The sequence below is a fragment of the Homo sapiens genome, chromosome 8, assembly GCF_000001405.40.
Source record: "Homo sapiens chromosome 8, GRCh38.p14 Primary Assembly".
Taxonomy (NCBI): Eukaryota; Metazoa; Chordata; class Mammalia; order Primates; family Hominidae; genus Homo; species Homo sapiens.
In genome coordinates, this window is record NC_000008.11 from 130,864,013 (window position 1) to 130,885,907 (window position 21,895).

Consider the following 21,895-nt stretch of genomic DNA (forward strand, 5'->3'; position numbering starts at 1 on the left):
CTAAAAATGTAGTTTTTGTTTTTCTGAGAAAGTATTTTTTCTCTGCTTATAAAGGATATAGAATTCTAGGTTGATGGTTTTTCTTTTAATACTTTAAATGCTTGACTCCACGCTCTTCTTGCTTACATGGTTTCTGACAAAAAGTCTGATGTAATTCTTATCCTTGTTCCTCTACAGGTAAGGCAGTGTCCTTCCTTCTGGTAAGATGATGTCCTTCACTGTGGTATCCTCTAAGATTTTCCCTTTGTCTTGCATTTTCTGCAGTCTGAATACAATATCTTTTTTTGATGTTTATCCTGGTTGGTTATTTTTATTTAACCAAAGTATTTAACCTTTAAAATTCTGTGTTTCTGTGATTCTGTGGTTTGTTGTCTATTATTAATTTTGGAACATTCTTAGCCATTATTACTTTAAATATTTATTTTGCTTAGCTCTCCTTTCTTCTCCTTTTGGTAATCTAATTATGTGTATATTTCTTCTTTTGAAATCATCCCAGAGTTCTTGGATGCTTTGACCCGTGTCCCCTGCCCAACCCCCATTCACTTTTGTCTTTGCATTTCAGTTAGGGAAGTTTCTATTGACCTGTCTTCAAGCCTACTGATTATTTCCTTGGCCTTTCTGAGCCTACTATTGAGCCCATTGAAGGCATTCATTATTTCTGTTAGGTGTTTTTAAATTTTTATCCTTTCCTTTTATTTCCTTTGATTTTCTTAGAGTTTCCATCTCTCTGTTTATATTGCCCATTTTTTCTTGCACATTGCCTACTTCTATTAGAACCTTTAATATATTAATAAGTTATTAAAAATTCCCTGTATGATAATTTTAACACTGTTATATCTGAGTTTGATTCTGATGATTGCTTTGCCTCTTCTTTTTTTTGGTGTGCCTTGTAATTTTCTGTTGAAAACTGTTCATATTGTATCAGGTAATAGAAAATGAAGTAAATAGATATTTTCTGTGAGGATTTATATCACTCTGGCTGGGAGTTAAGCTATGGTTAAGGTTTGCTATAGTTGTATGTTCCAGTAGCTTCAAATTCCTCTAGTGTATTAGTTTCCCCTCTTGATATGGGCTTCCCTAAGTACTCTTCCTCAGAAAGAATCTGTGTCTTGCAGTTCTTTCAGCTGTTAGTATCCGTGGTTAGTATACAGGGTCCTTGTTGGTGTGACATTAAGGTGTGGGGAAGAAGGCTCTGTCAATCTTTTAAATTTTCTTTTTGACTTAAAAAATGATGTTCTTTCTTTCACTTTCTATATTTCTTAAGTAATTTTTGCTGCGTTTATGTGCTGTTTGTTCTCTTTTGCTGTCTTCATTTCTGAAATATATATATTTTAAAATTTTTATTTATTTCTTGAGCTGTCTTTCCAAATTTCTAAGTTTTTCTAATTTTGGTTAGGTTGTTATTTCATGTCTTGAACAACATTAAGTGCTTCAGCTTCTTTTAAAAGAATAGGTTAAAGTTTTGATATATTTTGTGAGCATGTCTTTCTGGAGCACTTTCAATGACTATAAGAAGATTATTCTACTTGTTATTCTCTTATTTTTTATAATAGTATAGTATTGCCATCAATATATTTTGTTGCTCATTTTTGTGTAAAACACTTCCCTGAACTTTTAGAAAGAGCATGGTTCAGAGTTCTAGAAAGAGCATGGGTTGTTTATTTATTTTTTTAACTCTATAGAGCTTTCTCTTTGGTTGCTTTCATGCAGTGTTTCAAAACATCATAGCTAGAATTCCTTCCCACTTTAACCTGTATAGCCCTTATTGTAAGTGATTTTGATTTCACTCACACAGTTCCTTTCAGGCCTTTATCATGAGAGGGAGATTAGATGATCAGTTTCACGAGTTCATAGTGTCTTGATGGTTCCAGCTCTTCATGCCTTTCAAAAGGTTATTGGATTGGGCAAACTCCTTCCCACTTTCATTTGCTTTCTTAATTTGGCTCACAGCACTTCTCAGTGCATATCTGTTGGCTGTATTGAGATCCTTTTGTTCCCCGGTGTGACATGCCCAGTACTTCTTTCTGCTTTCTCCCATACAGGTACTGATATCACACAGATTTTGGGGCTATTGGGGGATTGTTGCTACCCACTTCTATATTGGAATGTATGGGTCTATCACCCTTGTTTATTATAAATATAGTCCATGAGGTTTTTGGTTTTGCTATCTAGTTGGTCAGATTCGTAAGAATTCTGAGAGATTAAGAAATATACCATCTGTCCCATCATCTTCCCGGAATCCCCTCTCTCTTTCTAATGTCCTCTGCTAATTAGGGGGAAGGTCAAGCATGGCCTGCCCTTGCATATTAGTTAACTTGAACATCTTTCTTCCACAGCATCATGCTACAATCTTCCTAAAAATCTCCTGGGGCCCCTTCTCACCCTCAGAATCAATTCCAAAGTCTTTAACATAGTTATGAACATTGAACTTCTGCTGGTTCTCTTCTTTTTCAGCCATAGTGTCTACTATATTCTTGCACAAGCCCTTTGCTATTGGCTCTTACATTTAATCACTATTCTATAAACACAAGGCCTTTCTCACTTGTATGGCCTTGCCAGAGCAGTTTTCCAAATGGAATACTCTCCTACTTTTTCCTCTCTCATCTTAGTGAAATCAAAACCTTTTCTGCAAATTTTTCCTTGAGTCATGTGGTCAGAATGAATCACTAATTTTGATGCAAAGCAGTCTAGTAACTAAAAGCACAGACTTGGTCTCTGGGTTCAAATTTCAGCTCAGATATTACACAGACATGTGACCTGGGATAAATCCTCATCTACGAATGGGAATTGGAATGCTGCCTCACTCATCAGTTATTTTTGAGGCTTTTTGAGACAATCCATGGAAAAGATGTAGTACTTTCCTGGCATGTATAAGTGCTCAGTAACTGGGAGCCATTGTTAATGTCTTTGTCACCTACTAAATTATGTCTTAGAGGTTACAGAACCTCTTCTTCCAAAACTGTGTCATCCTCAGGGGCTATAATGTTCCTTAGCCTATATTAAGTATTTAAAAAATATTTGTTGATATTATTTTTAATCATGTGAAAGGGGAAAACTCATAGTAAGTATAGGGAGAAGGCAATTTAGCTGAGAAAAGAGGCAGGAGCTAGCTTATAGTTTAGAGGAGAGGAAAAAGCATAGCTATTGGACTAATCCAGAACTAGGTTCAAATCCTGGCTAGAGCATCTATAACCTGGACAATATGTGTTTAATAGAGGGTTAAGAACCCAGACTCTAGAGCTAGTCTTCCTGGGTTGAATCTAGGCAGTAACATCTTGAACTATGGGATCTTAGGGAATTTATTTAACTATTATGAGCCTCAGTTCCCTCCTCTTTAAAATGAGGATAATCATGGCACCTACCTCATAAGGTTGTCATGGGGATTCCAGAAGTTTTTGTACGTAAAGTAGAACAGTGGCTGGCCACAAACAGGTGTTTGCATTATTATTAAAGTGTTGATTTTGCGGACCCAAGGAGCTACGATGCTGTATCTGTGAATGAATTATACTAACAAAAGCACAAGTAAATGGTGTTGAGGTTCTTATACCTATTTTCTGCATTCATGAGTGTCATGTCAAATAAGAGTGGGGCCTATTTTAATTTTGGTTGTTGTTTTTATTAAGATTGGGAAAAAGATTATTGTCTGGACAGAGTTTTGAGATTATTAGCAGAGTAAGACAACCGGAATAGACATTGATACTGTCAAACATTTTGGTATGCGTCCTGGACTCAGTTATTTTAAATTCTGATTCTTTGAAAAGTCAGCTGGCTGACTCCACATGAGGAATCTCACAAAGATATTTCACCAGATCAATTAGTTCTTTTACATTTACCTTGAAGAAGGAAGCAAACTTTGTATTGCCGTGATAAATAGAAGAACGATAAATGCACAGACCAAGTTTGACTTGAACACTTCATCCCTCATTTGAGAATACTGTAATTAAAAAAAGAGAGAATGAGTTACTTTGCAGCAGAGTGCAGTGTTTGAGGTTGAGGGAAACATCAAGAAGAAACAAGGCAATTAGATTTTTTTTAAATTAAGAATAATTCATATCTTAATAAAACCTTCACAGAGCATTATCCCCATCCCTCCTGCCAACTTTCCAGTGAGAGCCCAGGAGTAAATACAATGGGAGGGATACTTTGCATGAGCTTATCCAGTTCTTCCCCTCCCTCTGAACTAACATTATTTTAACAGAACAGAAGAGCGCACATCCATATATGCAGCAAATCAAATTTGCATTGACTTTCTTCATGAGTAAACTTAAGTCATTTAAGGATCTTGCACTGTTTCGTGTTAAGTTTGGGAACACAGGGAAATGTTTTACCAGGAAGTCTTTCTGCCTCCTTTTTTTTATTAAAAATAAATTCTCAGGCTCTTAAAATAGAAAATAGCCTAAGAGATCTCCAGCTAGTGTAGCCTTTTCATTTCACAGAAGAGAAACCAAGACTAATAGACCAATATGCTTGATGCCCTTCGTGTCTGCTCAAGGCAGCCCTGGGGAATGGTGGTAACTTTATTTTGATTATCCAGAGTACTCAGTAATTTCATTGTCTAGCTTTAAAAGCTTCTAGAAGGTCAGCACTCAATGTGTATTTGCCTTACTTCTGCCTACTCTCTTGAACTATCTTGGAGTTACTAAGCTGGGGAATATCTACTTCCTCCAGAAGGTGGGAAAGTTTTTAAAACTGAAAAAGACCTTAGAATTAGCCTAAACCAAGCCCCACATTTGACCTTAATGAGAGAGAGGACTAGTAGCAGGCAGGTTATTTTATTTTTGGGGGATAGAAAACTAAGTGTCACTTTGGAACTTTGTAATCTCTGATTTGCATTTCATGGTTACTTCAAACAAGAAGCTGGCAAATAGAGGTCTCACAACATCTTAGGCTCTATGTCCACAATACCAAGACAAGGTTTCAGTCAGGTCAAGAAATAATAAAATCAGTCCAATCTGTTGTTGGTATGGTGTTTGCAATAAACAGTTACATGATTTTTATTCTTTTCTGACTTCTTGGGGTGGTCTGGGTTTTAGACTGAACCCCACTTCTTAGTGTCATAGCTAAGGTTTGGAGAATATCCTGTAGTTGTTGAGCTCTCTGGATGAAGCACAATGCTGTTCAGAGACTGCACAGTTATTGCTTTTGCAGGGCAATGCTTTTTCTACTCTCCAGTATTGAGGCCTCTGTCCACTTGCTGGCAACCTGCTTGTTATCTGGAGGGAAACCAGGAACATGGCTCTGAAGAATCACTTTAAGCCATCCTCAACCCTGATAAAACCACAGAAAGCCCATATTATTAATATTATTAATAGTTACCAATAGTGCTACCCAAGAACAGGTCACAATCATAGAGGCCTACACAGAGCAGCTTGAAAATTAATTAGCCACAAAGCAGTTAATTCAAAGAAAGATAAATGTTTGAATTCCTTCTAACAACCAATTACAGAGGATCTAATTATTCATCCTTGGCTTACTGTTTTTTTTTTATTTTGTTTATTTTTTTTTGTTTTTTTGTTTTTTTTTGAGACAGAGTCTCGCTCTGTCGCCCAGGCTGGAGTGCAGTGGTGTGATCTCGGTTCACTGCAAGCTCTGCCTCCCAGGTTCACTCCATTCTCCTGCCTCAGCCTCCCGAGTAGCTGGGACTACAGGCGCCTGCCACCACGCCTGGCTATTTTTTTGTATTTTTAGTAGAGATGGGGTTTCACCATGTTAGCCAGGATGGTCTCGATATCCTGACCTGGTGATCCACCTGCCTCGGCCTCCCAAAGGGCTGGGATTACAGGCGTGAGCCACTGCACCCGGCCGGCTACTGGTTAATTTCAAACCAGCATGGTTGCGTAGATTTGATAATGAAAATTTAAAAACAGCAGTAATAATCATTTTAGTGTAGTTAATCAGTACACTAAAATTCCTCCTCCTCCTCCTCCTCTTCTTCTTCTTCTTCTTCTTCCTTCTTCCTTCTTCCTCCTCCTCCTCCTCCTCTCCTCTTCCTCTTCTTTCTTCTTCTTTTTTTTTTTTTTGATGGAGTCTTGCTCTTGTCACCCAGGCTGGAGTGCAGTGGTGCAATCTCGGCTCACTGCAACCTCTGTCTCCTGGGTTCAAGTGATTCTCCTCCCTCAGCCTCCTGAATAGCTGGGATTACAGGTGCCCACCACCATGCCTGGCTAATTTTTGTATTTTTAGTAGAGATGGGGTTTCACCATGTTGACCAGGCTGGTCTCAAACTCCTGACCTTGTGATCCGCCCACCTCGGCCTCCTAAAGTGCTGGGATTACAGGCATGAGTCACCGTGCCTGGCTCTTTTCTTCTTTTATGTCATCCACCCATCATCATCATGAACATCACCACCTGTCATCATCACTATCATCATCACAGCATCCTGGAGCTGTAATTGACCATTGCCTTCCCAATTCAGAAATCCTTTTCATAACATTCTTGATGTCTCCTCAAATGTCTGTTGATTATCATCCGATGACCTTCTCTGCTTTATCTGGGAAAGTGGGTTTCTTTTCTCTGGTCCTAAGCAGGGCATCTCAGGATTCTAAACACCCTCAAGTTGAACACTCAGATCCTGAGCCTGAGAGCTCATTGCTTTGCAAAGGCTTCCTTTCCATTATTGGCCCATGATCCTATGAAAAGATCCCTTCCTATAGATCCCAAGCCTGAGTCTCTGTGACTACTTTTATGAAGGTTTTTTACTGATGACTTAAAAAATGTGACATAATCATCATTTGTCCAGACTAAAGTTGCGTAAGATATTATATTTTCAATTTTCTTCAGATGGCAAATTGGGTGGAGACAAAGTACGGAGACGTACTTTGCTTTTAGATTTGTCACTATTTTATTGTGAGCAAAGCCAATTTCTTTGAACCTCACTTTTCTTATCTGTCAAATGGGAACATTAATATAGTTCATAAGTTTGGCGTTAATGTAGTTCATAAGTTTGAAGCATTCTATTATTTTCCTGTTTGAACTTCAGTGCTTAGCATAATCACATAAAAGAAGAATCTTATAATTGTGAAGTTGACATCATCAAATATAAAATGCTGTGTTTCAGAATGTGGTGCATTGTTACTCTGGAAATGCAAGGAGAGCAGGACTTCGAAAAGAAAATTCCTAATTGGCTCAGAATGATAGAGTACTGAGATTGATTAGTGATTCATTTAACTTCCTCTTGACTTGTAAAGGTCTGAACACTCTGGCTCATAGCTTTATTAAGTTAGTTGTGTGCTTATTGCCTGCCAAAGTTAAGGACTCCTTGTCTCATCTCTGTTCTGTCCTCACCTGGCCCCACTTATCCTTTTATATCTCAGTTGTGAGCATGAACTAATCAAGAGCTAGATTAAGTGGATTTGAATCCCAGCTCTAACACCTATGCAACCTTGGACAAAATCTTTAAGCTTTCTATGTCTCAGTTTCCTTATCTAGAAAATGGATACAATAATAGGAATTATCTCATAAGGGTTACTGGGAGAATGAAATGAGGTAATATATATAAGATGCTTAGAACAGTGCCTTCCACGATAATCCTATATAAATGTTACCTACTGTCAATCAATTAATTATACTTATTTTATTTCTATACTTTCTTCTATGTGAAGCTTGCCTTTTCAATGGTGTTGCCTTGCAGGATGCTGTCTTCTATTCCTCTGTACAGTATTGTACCTTGCACTCAGCGGTGACCCCAAAAGTGTTGACTGATTTTTCCACCATGTTATAAAAGATTCTTCTAAAGAAATTATGACCTCCTGTGTGTTTTTTAACTTGGAAGAAGACCCCACTCTCATTATTCCCCTTGCTTCTTGAAAGATTACCCACCACCGGGTAGAATTCTTAACTTTTCTAGGATCCTTAGGAAAAGTGTTCTTGGAAATGACCTGTGAACCCTTGTAATTTACTGAGCCCTTGGTCTACAAGAGAACTTGGCAATCACACACACACACACGCACGTGCACACACACACACATATGTATATAGATATATATTTTTTTCAGATAGGAAACTTGAGGATCAGAGATGTGAAAGAGCTTGTCATAGTCAGTTGGTGGCAAAATTCAGACACTTGGAACAAATTACAAATACTTCTTCGGAGATCTTAGATTAGGATTTGGAATATTATTATTTCTCAATCTTTAGGGTCTTAGTTGATTCAAAAAAAGGTCAAAATCTAGGATAAGGAATTTGAATAATAAGGACTAATATCTAGTGCAAGGCTGGTGCTGTGATACACGCTTTACATGAATGTTCTCATTTAACTATTGCAACTCTTGAAGAAGGTCTTGTTTATAATATCCTCACTTTGTAGATAAAGAAACTGAGGGTTTGAATAACTGAGTAACTCAACCACACCTTCACAGATTGCAAATAGAGAATCCAGTGAGTTTTGCTCTAGAATGCAGGGACTCACTGGCTACTGCTTCCTTGCTATTTTCAGAGTAAGGCTATCTTGTTCATAGGTGCATGATCAGATTTCTTGGGTATATTTCAGTGATGCAATTTATGATATACAGAAAGGGAATGTGTTAAAAATTTAAGCCTATGTAAATCTTGGTTAGAATGAAAGTAAAGCATATGGGCAAAGAATGGACATTAGAAACAGCCTAAAAATTAGTTTAATAAAATGCCACTGCTATATTTTCCTGATTGATGAATGGATCCTCATCACAATGCAATGCAAAATAATGAGCCCCTTTTTAGGCCAGGATGGGTGAACTGATAATAGGGAAGAAAACAAAAGACAGTAGATTTTATTTAAATGCAACAGAAGGAGAGTGACCACAATCTTCAAATGATAAACAAATCATTTCAAAAATGAAAATTCCTGTTTGATTTGATGAAGTTCAGACCCATTCCTTCCAAGGAAGTGGAGCAGGATAAACTTGTGTTTCATTTTGTTCATGTCTGGGGATTCTGGCCCTGAATTATCTTGAAAGACATATTCAGAAATGAAATCATAGTCATGAGGGTCAATGGGTTTTTAGATCCACCACAAAGAAGCTGAGAAACCCCAGTCTGATCACATGCAAAACAAATCTATTTCAGATTTCTTATCCACAGAGAGATGATCAGGGAAGTTCGTTTACAGAGGTGATGGACAGAGCTTCCAGCCTTCCATGTTTCCATGCCTGGGATAGTCCTAAGAACTCTTCCTAGGTGAGGGGGAGGAAAACCACAGTGCTTTCCTAGACTCTCCATTTTGACTGTAAGGTAAAAGGCACTGAAAGATTCTTACATTTCTACAAGATGTAGAAGATGCTTATAACTAAAACAATTATCTAGTTAATTGCCTAAACTGTAACTGTACTCTGTCTTTTTTTTTTTTGAGACACGAGTTTCACTCTTCTTGCCCAGGCTGCAATGCAATGGTGTGATCTCGGCTCAGCGCAACCTCCACCTTGCAGGTTCAAGTGATTCTCCTGCCTCAGCCTCTTATGCAGCTGGGATTACAGGCATGCGCCACCACACCCAGCTAATTTTTTGTATTTTTAGTAGAGACGGGGTTTCTCCATGTTGGTCAGGCTGGTCTTGAACTCCCAACCTCAGGTGATCTGCTCGCCTCAGCCTTCCAAAGTGCTGGGCTTACAGGCATGAGCCACTACGCCTGGCCACTCTGTCTTTTTATCAAAGATTGTAGGTGAGATTACAGAATCTTCTAGGTGGAATGAATTGTATTTGTCATCTTGCTCCAATCTTTACTAATGCCAGTTTAACTCACTAATATCTCTCAGGTATAAGCTGTTAACTCCTGCTTGAATATTTCCAGTGTTGGGGGAAATCAAGTCCTCAATTGGGAGCCCATTTCATTTTTGGATAAATTTAGTTTGATTAAAGAAAATTTTCTAGCACATCTTTTATTAGTATATATTAATATAGTTGTAAAAGAAAATTCTCAACTGGGATAACCTGTTCATTTTGCATTAGTGGATGAAGAAATTTAACCACTGTTCTGTTGTTAAATTCATGCATTCTGTAGCATGGCAGTAGCATAGAGCATCCTTAAAATAGACCATTTGGGCTGGGAGCGGTGGCTCATGCCTGTAATCCCAGTGCTTTGGGAGGCCGAGGTGGGTGGATCATCTGGGGTCAGGAGTTCGAGACCATCCTGGCCAACATGGTGAAATCCTGTCTCTGCTAAAAATACAAAAATTAGCTGGGTGTGGTGGTGTGCACCTGTAGTCCCAGCTACTCAGGAGGCTGAGGCAGGAGAATCACTTGAACCCAGGAGGTGGAGGTTGCAGTGAGCCGAGATGGCACCACTGCACTTCAGCCTGGAAGACAAAGCAAGACTCTGACTTAAAAAATAAATAAATAAATAAATAAATAAATAAATAAATAAATAAATAAAATACACCATTTGGATACAAGGCATAATTGCAATGAGACTAATTTTCAGTAATTTTTGAATTTCAAAATAGGCCATCTTCTCTATCTTGGTTCCTACACCAATAAAATTATTATTAAGAGCAATTAATTCTATGAGTGACAGGTGAGTGTGCAGAATGTCTCACTGACATACTTCTTCCCAAGCAAACTGACCTCTGAACAAATGTGGATTTAATCATGTTAAGTTGACTCACAAGGAAACATGCTAACATGCGTTTAAGATTGATGGGCTTCAGAAGTGCAAGGCTGGGAGGACACCTGCCCAGGGGTGACAGAAGACCCTAGGTTGGTAATACATTTCCTAATGTTATGTCCTTCCTTGATAGCGGGGTTAGACTGGGCACATGAGAATTTCAAGAAAAACTTTTAAAAACCTTCCATACCACCATTCTTCCAGCTCACCCTCCCCAACATCTTTCATCCTTGGGAGGAAGAACTCTTCCTTTCTTCACTGGTCCAGCCCCCCACCCACACCCCCAGCCATGGAGAAGCCAAGAGAGTGGTAACTATTGCTATATTCTTTACCTAGAAGTCCCTGGTTGTAGATGATAATGATGTCTACCCATGAAGCGTTACAATTGCTTCAGTGACCAGGTCAATGGCCTCATAATTCTGTAATTCTATATTACACTGTTATAGGTGAAATTGGCACTTCTGACTCTGAAAATGCTGGCTTTATGGGACTGGAACTGGCTAATTGATCTGATTAAAAAATACACACGAAATGGTACTTGATATCATTTGACTACCTAGAGGGTGGTAGAAACAGCTGTAATTTTGCAAGATAATATCAAGACAATAAAGGAGTCTTATAAGGCTACTGTCTCATTAAGGGATGGATTTCTTCCCGAAGCCTCTTTGAAACCTGTCCTTCACATCTGAAGGAGGAGGCCAAGATATTCATACTATGTTGGGACTTACTAGAGCAGTAAAAACTCAAGAGCAGCCTGATGCTATAACAGAATAAATCTTTAAAAATCATTTTAACAATAAGATCATGAAAATGACTAGGAGATATGTGATTTAGAAAAATGAAAGAGAAAAGCTGAGACCATTTGGTTCATGCTTCATGTTCCCATTTCTGTTCATCTAAATAAGACATGGAGTGGTTCAACAAATTCTGAATGTCCCCAAGACAAAAATGTGCATTTTGCTCGTTACCTAATTCCAGAGTCCAACATCATAACCCATCAGAAAATTCATTCATTTGCTTAGCCTTCTTTTCTTTGCCCAGATTTCTCCTTTATTATTTTATACTAATCATTACAACTCCAATAAAAGTTGATGGGATGAAGTAAGAAACATTTTAGAGTTTATGATTCATTTTTCTTGAAGTTTTTAAAGCCTCCATTTAACTTTGATTTTCTTTATAAATGACAGAAAAAAACTGAGAGACATTCTGGACATAGCTAAGAACCAATTGTACTGAGCCAAATAATTATCTAAAGATTCTCTTGTGTGGCAAATCCTTGGTTTTATGTGGCTGCTAACCGAAAAAAGAAATAACATTAAATGAATGTTTTTGAAAATACTCAGCACAGAACTTGGTTCATAGTAAGCACTATTTACAATAGTTATCATAATATAAAACTGGCAAAAGCTTAGTTGTGTGTAGCAAACGAAGCTCATTCAACTTCAGTTTTGTTTAATATGAATTTGATCTTTTTTTTTTTGAGATGGAGTCTTGCTCTGTCACCCAGGCTGGAGTGCAGTGGTGCGATCTCAGTTCACTGCAACCTCTGCCTCCCAGGTTCAAGCGATTCTTGTGCCTCAGCCTCCCGAGTAGCTGGGATTACAGGTGTGTGCCACCACACCTGGCTAATATTTGTATTTTTAGTAGGGGCAGGGTTTTGCCATGTTGGCCAGGCTGGTCTTGAACTCCTGACCTCAAGTGATCCACCCGCCTCATTCTCCCAAAATGCTAGGATTACAGGCATAAGTGACCACTCCCGGCCGGGTTTGATTGTTCTGGGAGGCTATTTCTGGCTTTGTCTTCTCTTGAGCCATCTTGTCACAAAACTACCTCCTTGATTGCTCAAGCTAATCAGCCTTTTTTGGGATACACAGTTCAACGGTGGTTCGAGGACTCATCATTCCTTCTCCCACTGGCCTAAGAAAAAATGTTTCATGTGTTCATGTATTCACTTATTTGATTCTTACGTGTTCATGCATAGTTAGGGTGATAGAGTTGCCTTTGTTTTCAGGCTACCTTTATCAAGATTGTGTCTGTTGCCAGAAACAAGAGGTGGATTGTTTGTATATGTGTGTGCCTATGTATGTGTACATGTGTGACATGTGTGGATATTTGTGTGTGTGTAGGGGGGCAGGGGGGAATGAATAGAGGATAAAAGAAATGTTCATGGTTTTAACTTTTTTTTGGTCTCTATGGTATATTTGCCATATGCATTACTGTATAACTCCTCCCTTGCAACCCACTGGCTGCATCCTTCTTGAATTTCAAACTATATGAAAATCAGGTGCTTAGGAGAAAGACAGGATTTTTCAAGGTGTGGCAGAAGTGGTAGAATAGCTTGGGAGACACAGTGAACTCTACTTGAATCCCCACTCTGCTGCCTTCTATTACTGTGGGCCTTGGAAAAGCTGCTCAAACTCTTTGAGACTCCCTTACCTGTCAAATAGTACAATTAGTACCTCCATAAAGGAAGTTGTGACACTTAAGTAAAATGAGGTAAAACATTTAAAATAGTCATGATAGGGCCTGATATGGTAGTAAGTGATCAGCAAATACCAGTTTCCTTGTCACATTGCTGCCTCAGTTGCAATTCATTGCAGCCTCCAAGGCACTTAAGTATTATCTGCATTTCATCTGCACCACCTTGCAAAGTGGCCATTATCATGCCCAATTTTAGGATGGGAAGTTCCCAGATCACAAGCCAGAGTGTAAGTTCCCAGGGCACAGAAGCTGTGGCTTTATGTCTTCCTATATCATCTCAGTATAAGATGCCCAATGGAGTGGACACAAACAGAATCCAAACCAAGCATACTGAATGCTCTGAGCTGTTCCTGATGGACTTCCCAAGAATCAATAGCATGAATGCTCTGAGCTCTGCTGGAGGCACTTCCCAAGAATCACTAGAGTGAACACTCTGAGCCATGCCTGATGGACTCCCAAGGAATCACAAGAAGTGTGGACAGAAAGACAATCTTTTGCAGGAGCATAAAGAAACCCATGCGTGAAATATCTAATCCTTGGCTGGCTTGTCCTCACAGGAAGAAAAGCATGGCCTTTGGGAATGATAAAACATCTATCATCCTTGAAGAGAGAAACAATCCTTATCTTTTTTTGGAAAATAGTGATAATAAGGATCTTAGAATAATCAAATCATTTAGAGAAAATACAAGCAAATGACACCTACAAATTTAAACACATCTCAGAGGCCAAGGTGGTCACTGCTTGTGCTCCAGTGATCCTGGGAGATTGTTGGAAGCACCTCTTCCAATGAGCTACAAGGCTGTACTTGCTTAGATTAATGACGGTTGGAACCCTGGTACCCTGGGATACAAGACGCATTAAGATTGGCCCATATGAGATTTATCTTAAAGAGGGTCTTGCCTTGTGCAGGTTTGGGTTAGAAGAGGATTAATTAGAAGGACAAGGGAAAAGAAAGACTATTGCATTTATACAAACTTCTGTTATATGAATATTGTGCCATTTAATTTTCACAACAACCCCTAGGGGCAGACAATCATACTCATTTCGATGAGATCAAGCCCCTTGCTTTGTATCACCCAACCGGTAACTGGTTGGAACTGGGTTCAAGTCAGAATCCAGTCTATGTTCTTTCCTCTGTCTTTCAACGAAGACTAAATACTGGTGAGCGAAATGAGGATTTTATACGTGTGTGTGTGTATCCATTTGAGTGACAGAAAGATATCAACTTGTCATTACCCATTATTGATCAGTAAACTAATCAACTGTCCTTTATGCTCACTTCTATTTCCAAAGTGGGACTTGAACTGAGGTCTAGCTGATCCCAAAGACTGTGGTCCTGAAGCCATTATTAGTCTCTTGGAGACATCTCCTCTAGACTTGTTAAAAGCCATATTACCCTTGAGTTAGGACCCGGGGACTTTTTGATGTAAGCTGATCTCTGAAGATGTGGGGCAAGTGACCAGCCCGAGTCTCATGCTCAATCAAGGACAGAGAAAGATGGCCAACAACCAAGAATAACAAAATCCAAAAAAGAGTATTTACCAAAATGCAGGTCTTCTTGCAAAATCAGAATCTTGGGGGCAGAGTGATGGGATGGTACCTGCATTTCAAACAAGATCCCCAGATGATTCTTAAGTTTGAAAACTATTAGCCTGAGACAAAGAGAGTTTTAGTACATAAATTTGTCACAAGGACAAAGGATGCCTTTTCTCAAAGCAATTAAGAATCAAGAGGAAAAATATCAGCATTAAAAGAAGGAAGGAACTTTAATCTTCCTTGATATGGCTTGATTATCACAGTTTACCCACAAAAATGCCCATATCCAAAGCATAAATATGCAATCAATTTTGAAGTATATATTAAACATGTCTTAATCTTTATTCAAGATGAGGAAGTCACCTTATTATAAGGTGATAATATTGTTTTTGGAACACTTAGCTTAATGAAATAATTCCAAATAAGTGTTCCTGTGTTATTAAGCTCTCTTAAGATGCTAAAGTTTTGGGTTGGCTACTCTGGCTTGGAAACATCCATAAGTAAATGTAATTAATTGTCTTCCCTATCCTAAGCCTCATTCAGAGCCATTTCCCAGAAGAGAAGTGAGGACCAGAGGCTGAGAAACATCACCTTCTTGTAAGTGCTCTGAAAATGGAAGGGCCCAAGATAAGTGATCCCACAAAAGGTTAAGTTCCTCAGTGTGTAAAGAAGGCTCACAAATAAAAAAGACAAAGGTGAGCACTGCGATAAAAGATTGGCAATGAAGACAAATGTGTAAATCATACCATCAAGGTATAAGAAATGTGCAAGTCACAAAAGGAGAATTATAAAGGCCAAAATATGTACTGACAAACCTTCTACTGCAATAATAATTTTAAAAATAAAAACAGAAATGCCAGGCAGGTGCTGCTTTTTACTTCTTACCAAATTGACAAGTTTTTAAAAGTGTAAGCACAATTTTTGAGGGCAACTTCAAAATGACTATTAAGTATTTTTAAATGTGAATTCTCTTTCACCCACCCCTAGGATTTTATCCTAAAAATAAATAAGCAAAAGTGCATAATTTAACTATGAGAATAGTCATTACAACATAATTTGTAATTTATAATAGTGAAAAACTTTTTTTAAAAGCCTGAAATAGTTAAATGTGCAATGAGATAGTATGTAAATACTAAAATTACTGTGTAAGTGAATATTTAATAATGAGGAAAAAAGCTCAAGCAAAGAATGTTTAACACTATGTTACGAAGCCCTGTGCATACAATGGTCTATTTTTATAAAAATTTTTGATATGGTTTGGCTCTCTGTCCCCACCCAAATCTCATCTTGTAGCTCCCATAATTCCCACATGTTGTGGGAGGGACCCAGTGGGGCGATGACTGAATCATGGGGGTGGGTCTTTCCTATGCGATTCTCGTGATAGTGAATGGGTCTCGTGAGATCTAATGGTTTTTAAAATGGGAGTTTCCCTGCACAAGCTCTCTCTTTGCCTGCTGCCAGCCACATAAGATGTGACTTGCTCCTCCTTCACCTTCTGCCATGATTGTGAGGCCTCCCCAGCCATGTGTAACTGTAAGTCCAATAAACCTCTTTCTTTTGTAAATTGCCCCATCTTAGGTATGTCTTTTTCAGCAGCATGAAAATGGACTAATACGGTTGTGTACATAAGTCTATAGATTCACACTCATGTAAGACCAGAATGACAGATGCCAGAATGGTAACAGTGGTTACCCTGGGTTGAAAGATCCAAAGAGATTTCATTTTTTTCTTTTTGCCTTATACTTAGTATCAACTTTTACTGGTGAAAATGCATTCTTCTTTTAATAAGAAAATATCCAATAAGAAATATTCAATAAGGAAATACCAATGTGATTGGTAGCATCTGACAGACACATTAAGTTTTCTACATATCTTTACCATAGTTCTGATTTGTGCTTGCCCATGAGATCTGTAAGCCCACTTAGGAAATATCTAGCCTGACTAAAGAAGGGCAAATGATTCATCTGGGAAATGTGGGAAGAGCTGAAGAAGGCCTTTGGCAACTGCAATAGGTCTCCTCTCCCCTATCCAGAGTTCTGCTTAGAAAGTCCTGATGATTGGCTGGGTAGTGAAGGAAGATGTTGAGTCACTAATTCTAACCTGGCTGAGGCCCAAGCCTTGGGTCACATGACTTGTTACATATCATCCACACTGGGTGATTTTTTAGAGTGAAGGGAGGTGATACTAATTTCACATTGTAAAAATAGACATCTACTACTCTCCTGGGCAAACCAGGACATATGGCCACCATGATCATAGGAAATTCACAGATTTATAGCATTAACTGCTGAAGTGGTCAGCAGCTGTCCAACGTCCTCATTTCACAGATAAAGAATCCAAGGACTAGAGAAGGAAAGATATGTTCGCTAAGCTACATGAGTCATGAGCATACTGTTCTGAAGCTTAACTCAAAAGACTCCTGTGAGGGAGCAGGGAGTGAGCCACCTTTGAAATTCCATGGCAGGGAGTACACAGAACTTTTGTTCTCTGCTGAAACTCCACTAAAAAGAGTCAGATCAAAATTGACCCATGCCTTTCGGCTCTTAGAGTTCACAAAAAATATCCTGAAAACAGCTACAGGGGGTGAGGCAGTCTTATCTAACCTTCTTAAACTGAGTCTTTATTCATTTCCTTATTCATTCAACAAGTATTTATGCAATACCATGAATTATATAAAAGTCCTGTTTCACATAATGTTGTGGATAGGCACGCCAATTATTATAGGCAAACGTGACCAGGGAATGTGTGAATGATATTTCTGTACATTTCGATGGAGCTTTGTTCATTTCGGTGTTTGAACATTTCAGTGTTTTCATAAAGGTGGAAAGGCAAACGGGTTCCTATATTCATTTGTCTTCTTATTGTTCAAACGGAATAAAGCCTTTCCTTTCCTACAAAGATTGCAAAGGAACAATTATTTTTCCATTTCCATTTTTCCTTTCAGAAAACATACTTTTATGGTCCAGACTTGTTCCCAAGAAGAAAGGTAGGGCAGTGGGAAGAGAAAAGGCTTTAGAATCATAAATATTGTATGTATTTAAAAAATTCTAAGATATATATTCTTAATAAAAATGTTCAATTTTCCTTAAAATGTACACCTTGACATCTCTGAAATCAGCATGCACCTTATTATCAGGGGAATCCTAAAATCTTGAGTTCTTTCCAGGGAGGTTTGCAATTGCTTCTGTGGTCACCAGGTGGCAATATCAACCCAGGATCATTTTAAATTAAATTCTCTGATAATTTTTTTTTTTTTTTGTCCACATTCAAAGTGTGAATTCATGCAGCAAACCTATGCAGATTCCATTTCGGAGTTTAAATTCTTGGGGAGCTTCTTCCCTTTATTAAATCAATACCAGGGTATAGGCATATGGGTTTCCTCACTACCCTTGTCTAAGGGGGTTGTCCCACTAGCCCCTCAGCCCCCCATATCCTTACCCGGAGGGTGTAAGCCCAGTTTATTAGTGTGTGTGTGTATGTGTGTGTGTTTCCTCTTAGAAACCCATATTGAGGTTTTTTTTTTTTTTTTTTCCTTTCTGAGAGCTGCATAGAAAATACAGCATCTCACAGTTGATGACACCTTAGAGTCAATGAAATATAGTAGCTGGATTTTGAGATCTAAGATCTCCACTTAACCTCTTGGAGGTTCAGTTTTCTCTTTTGTAAGTGGAATAGTAAACTGATGTATCTAACAGCAAGCACAGAGGAACTGCATATTAATGCTATTTTCTGATTCTGGAATCCTATGTATTTGAAAGCCTTGTTTTAATTTTGTTATGGCTCTAGAACCCTTTCCTACTTAGCCTCTCCTGTAAACTCCCTCTCTGTGCCTCCCACTGCATCCAAAGTTTGACAAAAGGAAAATGAAGACAGCACGGGATTGTCTTCTTCGTACGAAACCCTGGGAAATCAAGTCCTGGGGACTCCTGGCAGAGGCAGCATAGTCAACAGACAAGAGCAGTGGCTATGGCATCATGGTAGGCTCAGATTCCAGTCCCTCTCTGACAGTTTGACTTTGGAAAAGCTTCATAGTAGTTTCTCCATGTCACGTTTCACCAAGTATAAAATGAAGCTCATAATAACATCTACTTTTTATTACTGTTTTTGTCAGTTGATTTATGCAGACAGCTTAGAAATAGTGCCTGGTACTTGGTAAATACCCAATGAATGTTACTTGTGATATATTCTCTGCTCAGCAGTAACACAGTCCCTAGAGATGGTCTCAGAGCAAGAGTCAATGAAGAGTATCTCGGTAAGAGTCAGTGAAGAATATCTCGGTGACAGGAGAGGAGTGATCGTTTGCTGATGTGTCCTGTTGCCATCACCACTGGGGAACCCATGCAATGCATAGCACAGGCTAGGTGGTCTGTGGCTAGACTGTCAATGGGCAAGTCCCATGTTTGTTCAGGGTGCTGTACTCTGGCTCTTCTAGAAGAATCTTCCCTGGTCACAGAAATCAACCTCAGGCATGCTGTTCCTCCCTTAGATGTGAATGCTATTAAATAAAACACACTAGAAACTATCTGTAGTATGCACGGGTTAGGTTATTAGTGAAGCAAGTACATCTTTAGCAAAAATAAATAAAAGCGTTTTGTATAGCTCTGGACACAGGTATTTACACAAGCTAATTGAGAAGTTTCTTTGTAAAGCAATCTGCTCTTCATCCTAGCTTCTTCAATGCAGTAACCGGGAAAGAAAATGTATTTAATTTGGACCTTAAGCCCTTAATTATATGATGAATAAGAGAAGTGTGTCTTTTACTTTTTTTGTGTGGGTTGAGTGAGGCAAAATGTTTCTTTTCCTTTTGTTTTGTTAGTACATAGACACAATCCATCTCAAATTGGGAACTGTAGGTGAAGGTATTAATTTTGGAGTCTGCAATCCTTAGGTAGCTATCAAAGAAGCTCATTGGGAATGCTGTATGTGCACAGAATTGTGAATTCTCTAAACTAAGGAAAGCAAATCTCCCAGGCAGCTGAACAAACTTACAAAAAAATTGCTCACTGGAGCTTTACAGAGTATTGAATCAAACTCCTGAAATTTGCTTGTAGATTCCCTGCTGTTCCTGCCCAAGGCTCCTGCAGATGCCAGGCACCTCTTATGCTCAGTCAAGGAAGGTCTGTCAGCTTCTATCAGCACAAAGGAGCAACCCAGTTAAGCAAGGTCGGCACCCCATCTGCCCACTCCCTTCTCCAGTTCAAAGCTGAGGTGGGGGAGGGGAATGGAAAAAGTCATCATTAATGTGGTGATAGCTGCCATCCTTGAACACTTTACCTAATCAAGGTGTTGCCCTGAAGACTTTCATATTAACTGTGAGGTAGGTGCATTCATTATCCTCATCATACAGAGGGGAACTCACGCTCAGAGAGGTTACTTTACTTATCTAAGTTCACATAGCAAGAAAGTGGCAGAGGTGGAATTCAAATTTGACTCTGAATCCACAACCCATTTCTTTCTACTATGCCTAGGTCAGAAGACTCTGAGGCAGCAGACAACTGGGGAAAGGGGAGAATAGATATCTAAAATCTAAGAAAGACAGTGTTTATCACTGACCGCTTACATCAAGTTATTGGGTGCCCTCATTTATTATGTTAAAATGGTTGCAGCTGATGTGAATTCATCTAAAAGCAAAGGTAAGTGGCTGTTAATGCCACTTGGCTTAATAATCTGAAAGTGGAAGAAACTCTTGATGCTTACTGAGTTAAAGGAGTCTTTGTTCTTTGAGTCTTCTTTTCCTTAAAGAGCAAGCTGATGTTCTCTTAATCTAACTCTCATCTCCTTTCATGACCTTCAGTCTACTCATGATTTTCAAGGAGAAAAATGAAAGACAGTACCAAACCAAACCAAAGCAAACAAACAAAGAAACCAAAACCACAGCCCCTGGGCTCTCTCTCTAGTCCCATGAACATCTACCACAATTTACTCAGAAAAAGAGCCGCTGTGGAGACCCAGCTCTACCTTGTGCTCCAGGCTGGAGTCTTTAAACATCAGTGAGAATGGCTTGATATGCTCTCTTCTCAATTTATCGCCACTCCGCAAGTCGATGGTATGTTCTATTCTCTTGTTAATTTCCTCAGGCCCAGACTGGACATGCAAAGCTTGTGCAAGATGGTTTGGAAGCAGATTTATTGAATTTCTTGTTAGGGCAGCCAGAGTCTAGGGGGAAAGCACATGCAAACACAATAAACCTGCTAGTCCCCTTTAGATAAAACAGAAATGCAATGTTTTTAAATCATGTTGCATTGCAAACAGTAATAGCATTCCATGCAGTTGTATTCAGTGAAACCTACAGAAGTTGATCTGATAGCATTTGGTGCAGAGAAATACAACCTGGCAAAATATCACATCCAGAGGGACACTTCCTTTTTCTCTATGTAGGCACACTGAATTCCTTTGGTTGAGGTATTTGGAGAGTTGTTGGCTTAGAAATGTTAATCAAGACCCTTTCTCTAACCAGGCACAACCTGGGTATGAGAGAAAGAGAACCAAAAAAATAACAGAAAGTAAATATATGTTAAAAGTCCCCAAAAATGATCATCTCCAACTGAGTAGATTCCACATTTTCGTGTGACCTTTCATTTAATGGTGGTGGAGAGACTTGGGGTCTTATGGCTTGCATTTTTTTTTTTTTTAGCATTACTCATAGAAAGACAGCCAAATATGCCAGGATCTGCTCCTTAAACTTGATAAAGATTGCTAAATTTTTTACTTCGCTAATATGTCCCTCCCTCAGCATAGGCCATTATATATCTATATATTCATATAGATATATGTGTGTAATTTCTTTTAGGTAAAAAATGCAAGCAACTTGCAGCCTCCCACCATTTCACAGGGTTACACAGCACGAGACGGGGAAAGGCATAACCACCACGGCTGGTCACTGGATATGGATACATGGATGCAGAAACTGCATTGGCTTACGAAGACACACCAGGTTTGGCAAGGAGACCTTTCCTCCTGGTGATTCAGTAGCCAGGATAAGATTAACTGGCTGTATCTAGCCAAATGCAGTGTTCACTCACAGCACCAATTTAAGGCAGCTTCTTAGACCAAAAAACAAAAAAAAAAGTGTGAGTTGGACCTGAAGGGATATATAGGGACAAGGAAGCCCAACCCATCCTTCCAATAGATCTTCTTGAAGGAAAGTAGAGGATGCCACGCATCTGTAGAGTGAGTAAGGAAGTGAAAATTCTCTGCCTTTATACACACTCACTGCATTTGCTTTTCTCTGCCAGCCTCTCAGCTTGGCTATGTTTAGAACACAGGCTAGATGAAGATAAGATTATGGAGTCATCAAATGGC

The 21,895-nt window shown here is 38.9% G+C and overlaps 1 protein-coding gene and 2 long non-coding RNA genes across 7 annotated transcripts in view; 2 read left to right on the forward strand and 1 right to left on the reverse strand.

Annotated features, from left to right (window-relative positions):
- Window positions 1-20,138, forward strand: part of LOC105375762 (uncharacterized) — a 34,014-nt gene extending 13,876 nt beyond the window's left edge. For both annotated transcript variants that reach the window (XR_928658.2, XR_928656.3), the window contains exons 3-4: window positions 19,645-19,756; window positions 20,062-20,138. This is a non-coding gene — a long non-coding RNA (uncharacterized LOC105375762). The remainder of the gene's footprint in view (window positions 1-19,644; window positions 19,757-20,061) is intronic.
- Window positions 1-21,895, reverse strand: part of ADCY8 (adenylate cyclase 8) — a 260,609-nt gene that overhangs the window by 83,712 nt on the left and 155,002 nt on the right. For 2 of the 4 annotated variants that reach the window (XM_005250769.4, NM_001115.3), the window contains exons 8-9: window positions 20,552-20,749; window positions 3,834-3,934 (exon numbers count right to left, since the gene is read on the reverse strand). In XM_005250769.4, coding sequence (XP_005250826.1) covers window positions 3,834-3,934; window positions 20,552-20,749 — 299 coding nt within the window. The remainder of the gene's footprint in view (window positions 1-3,833; window positions 3,935-20,551; window positions 20,750-21,895) is intronic. The other 2 variants (XM_017013006.2, XM_006716501.4) reach the window with 1 other exon arrangement.
- LOC105375761 (uncharacterized) lies at window positions 20,533-21,886 on the forward strand. The gene is made up of 3 exons (XR_001746091.3): window positions 20,533-20,639; window positions 21,384-21,527; window positions 21,829-21,886. It is a non-coding gene; the product is annotated as an uncharacterized LOC105375761 (long non-coding RNA).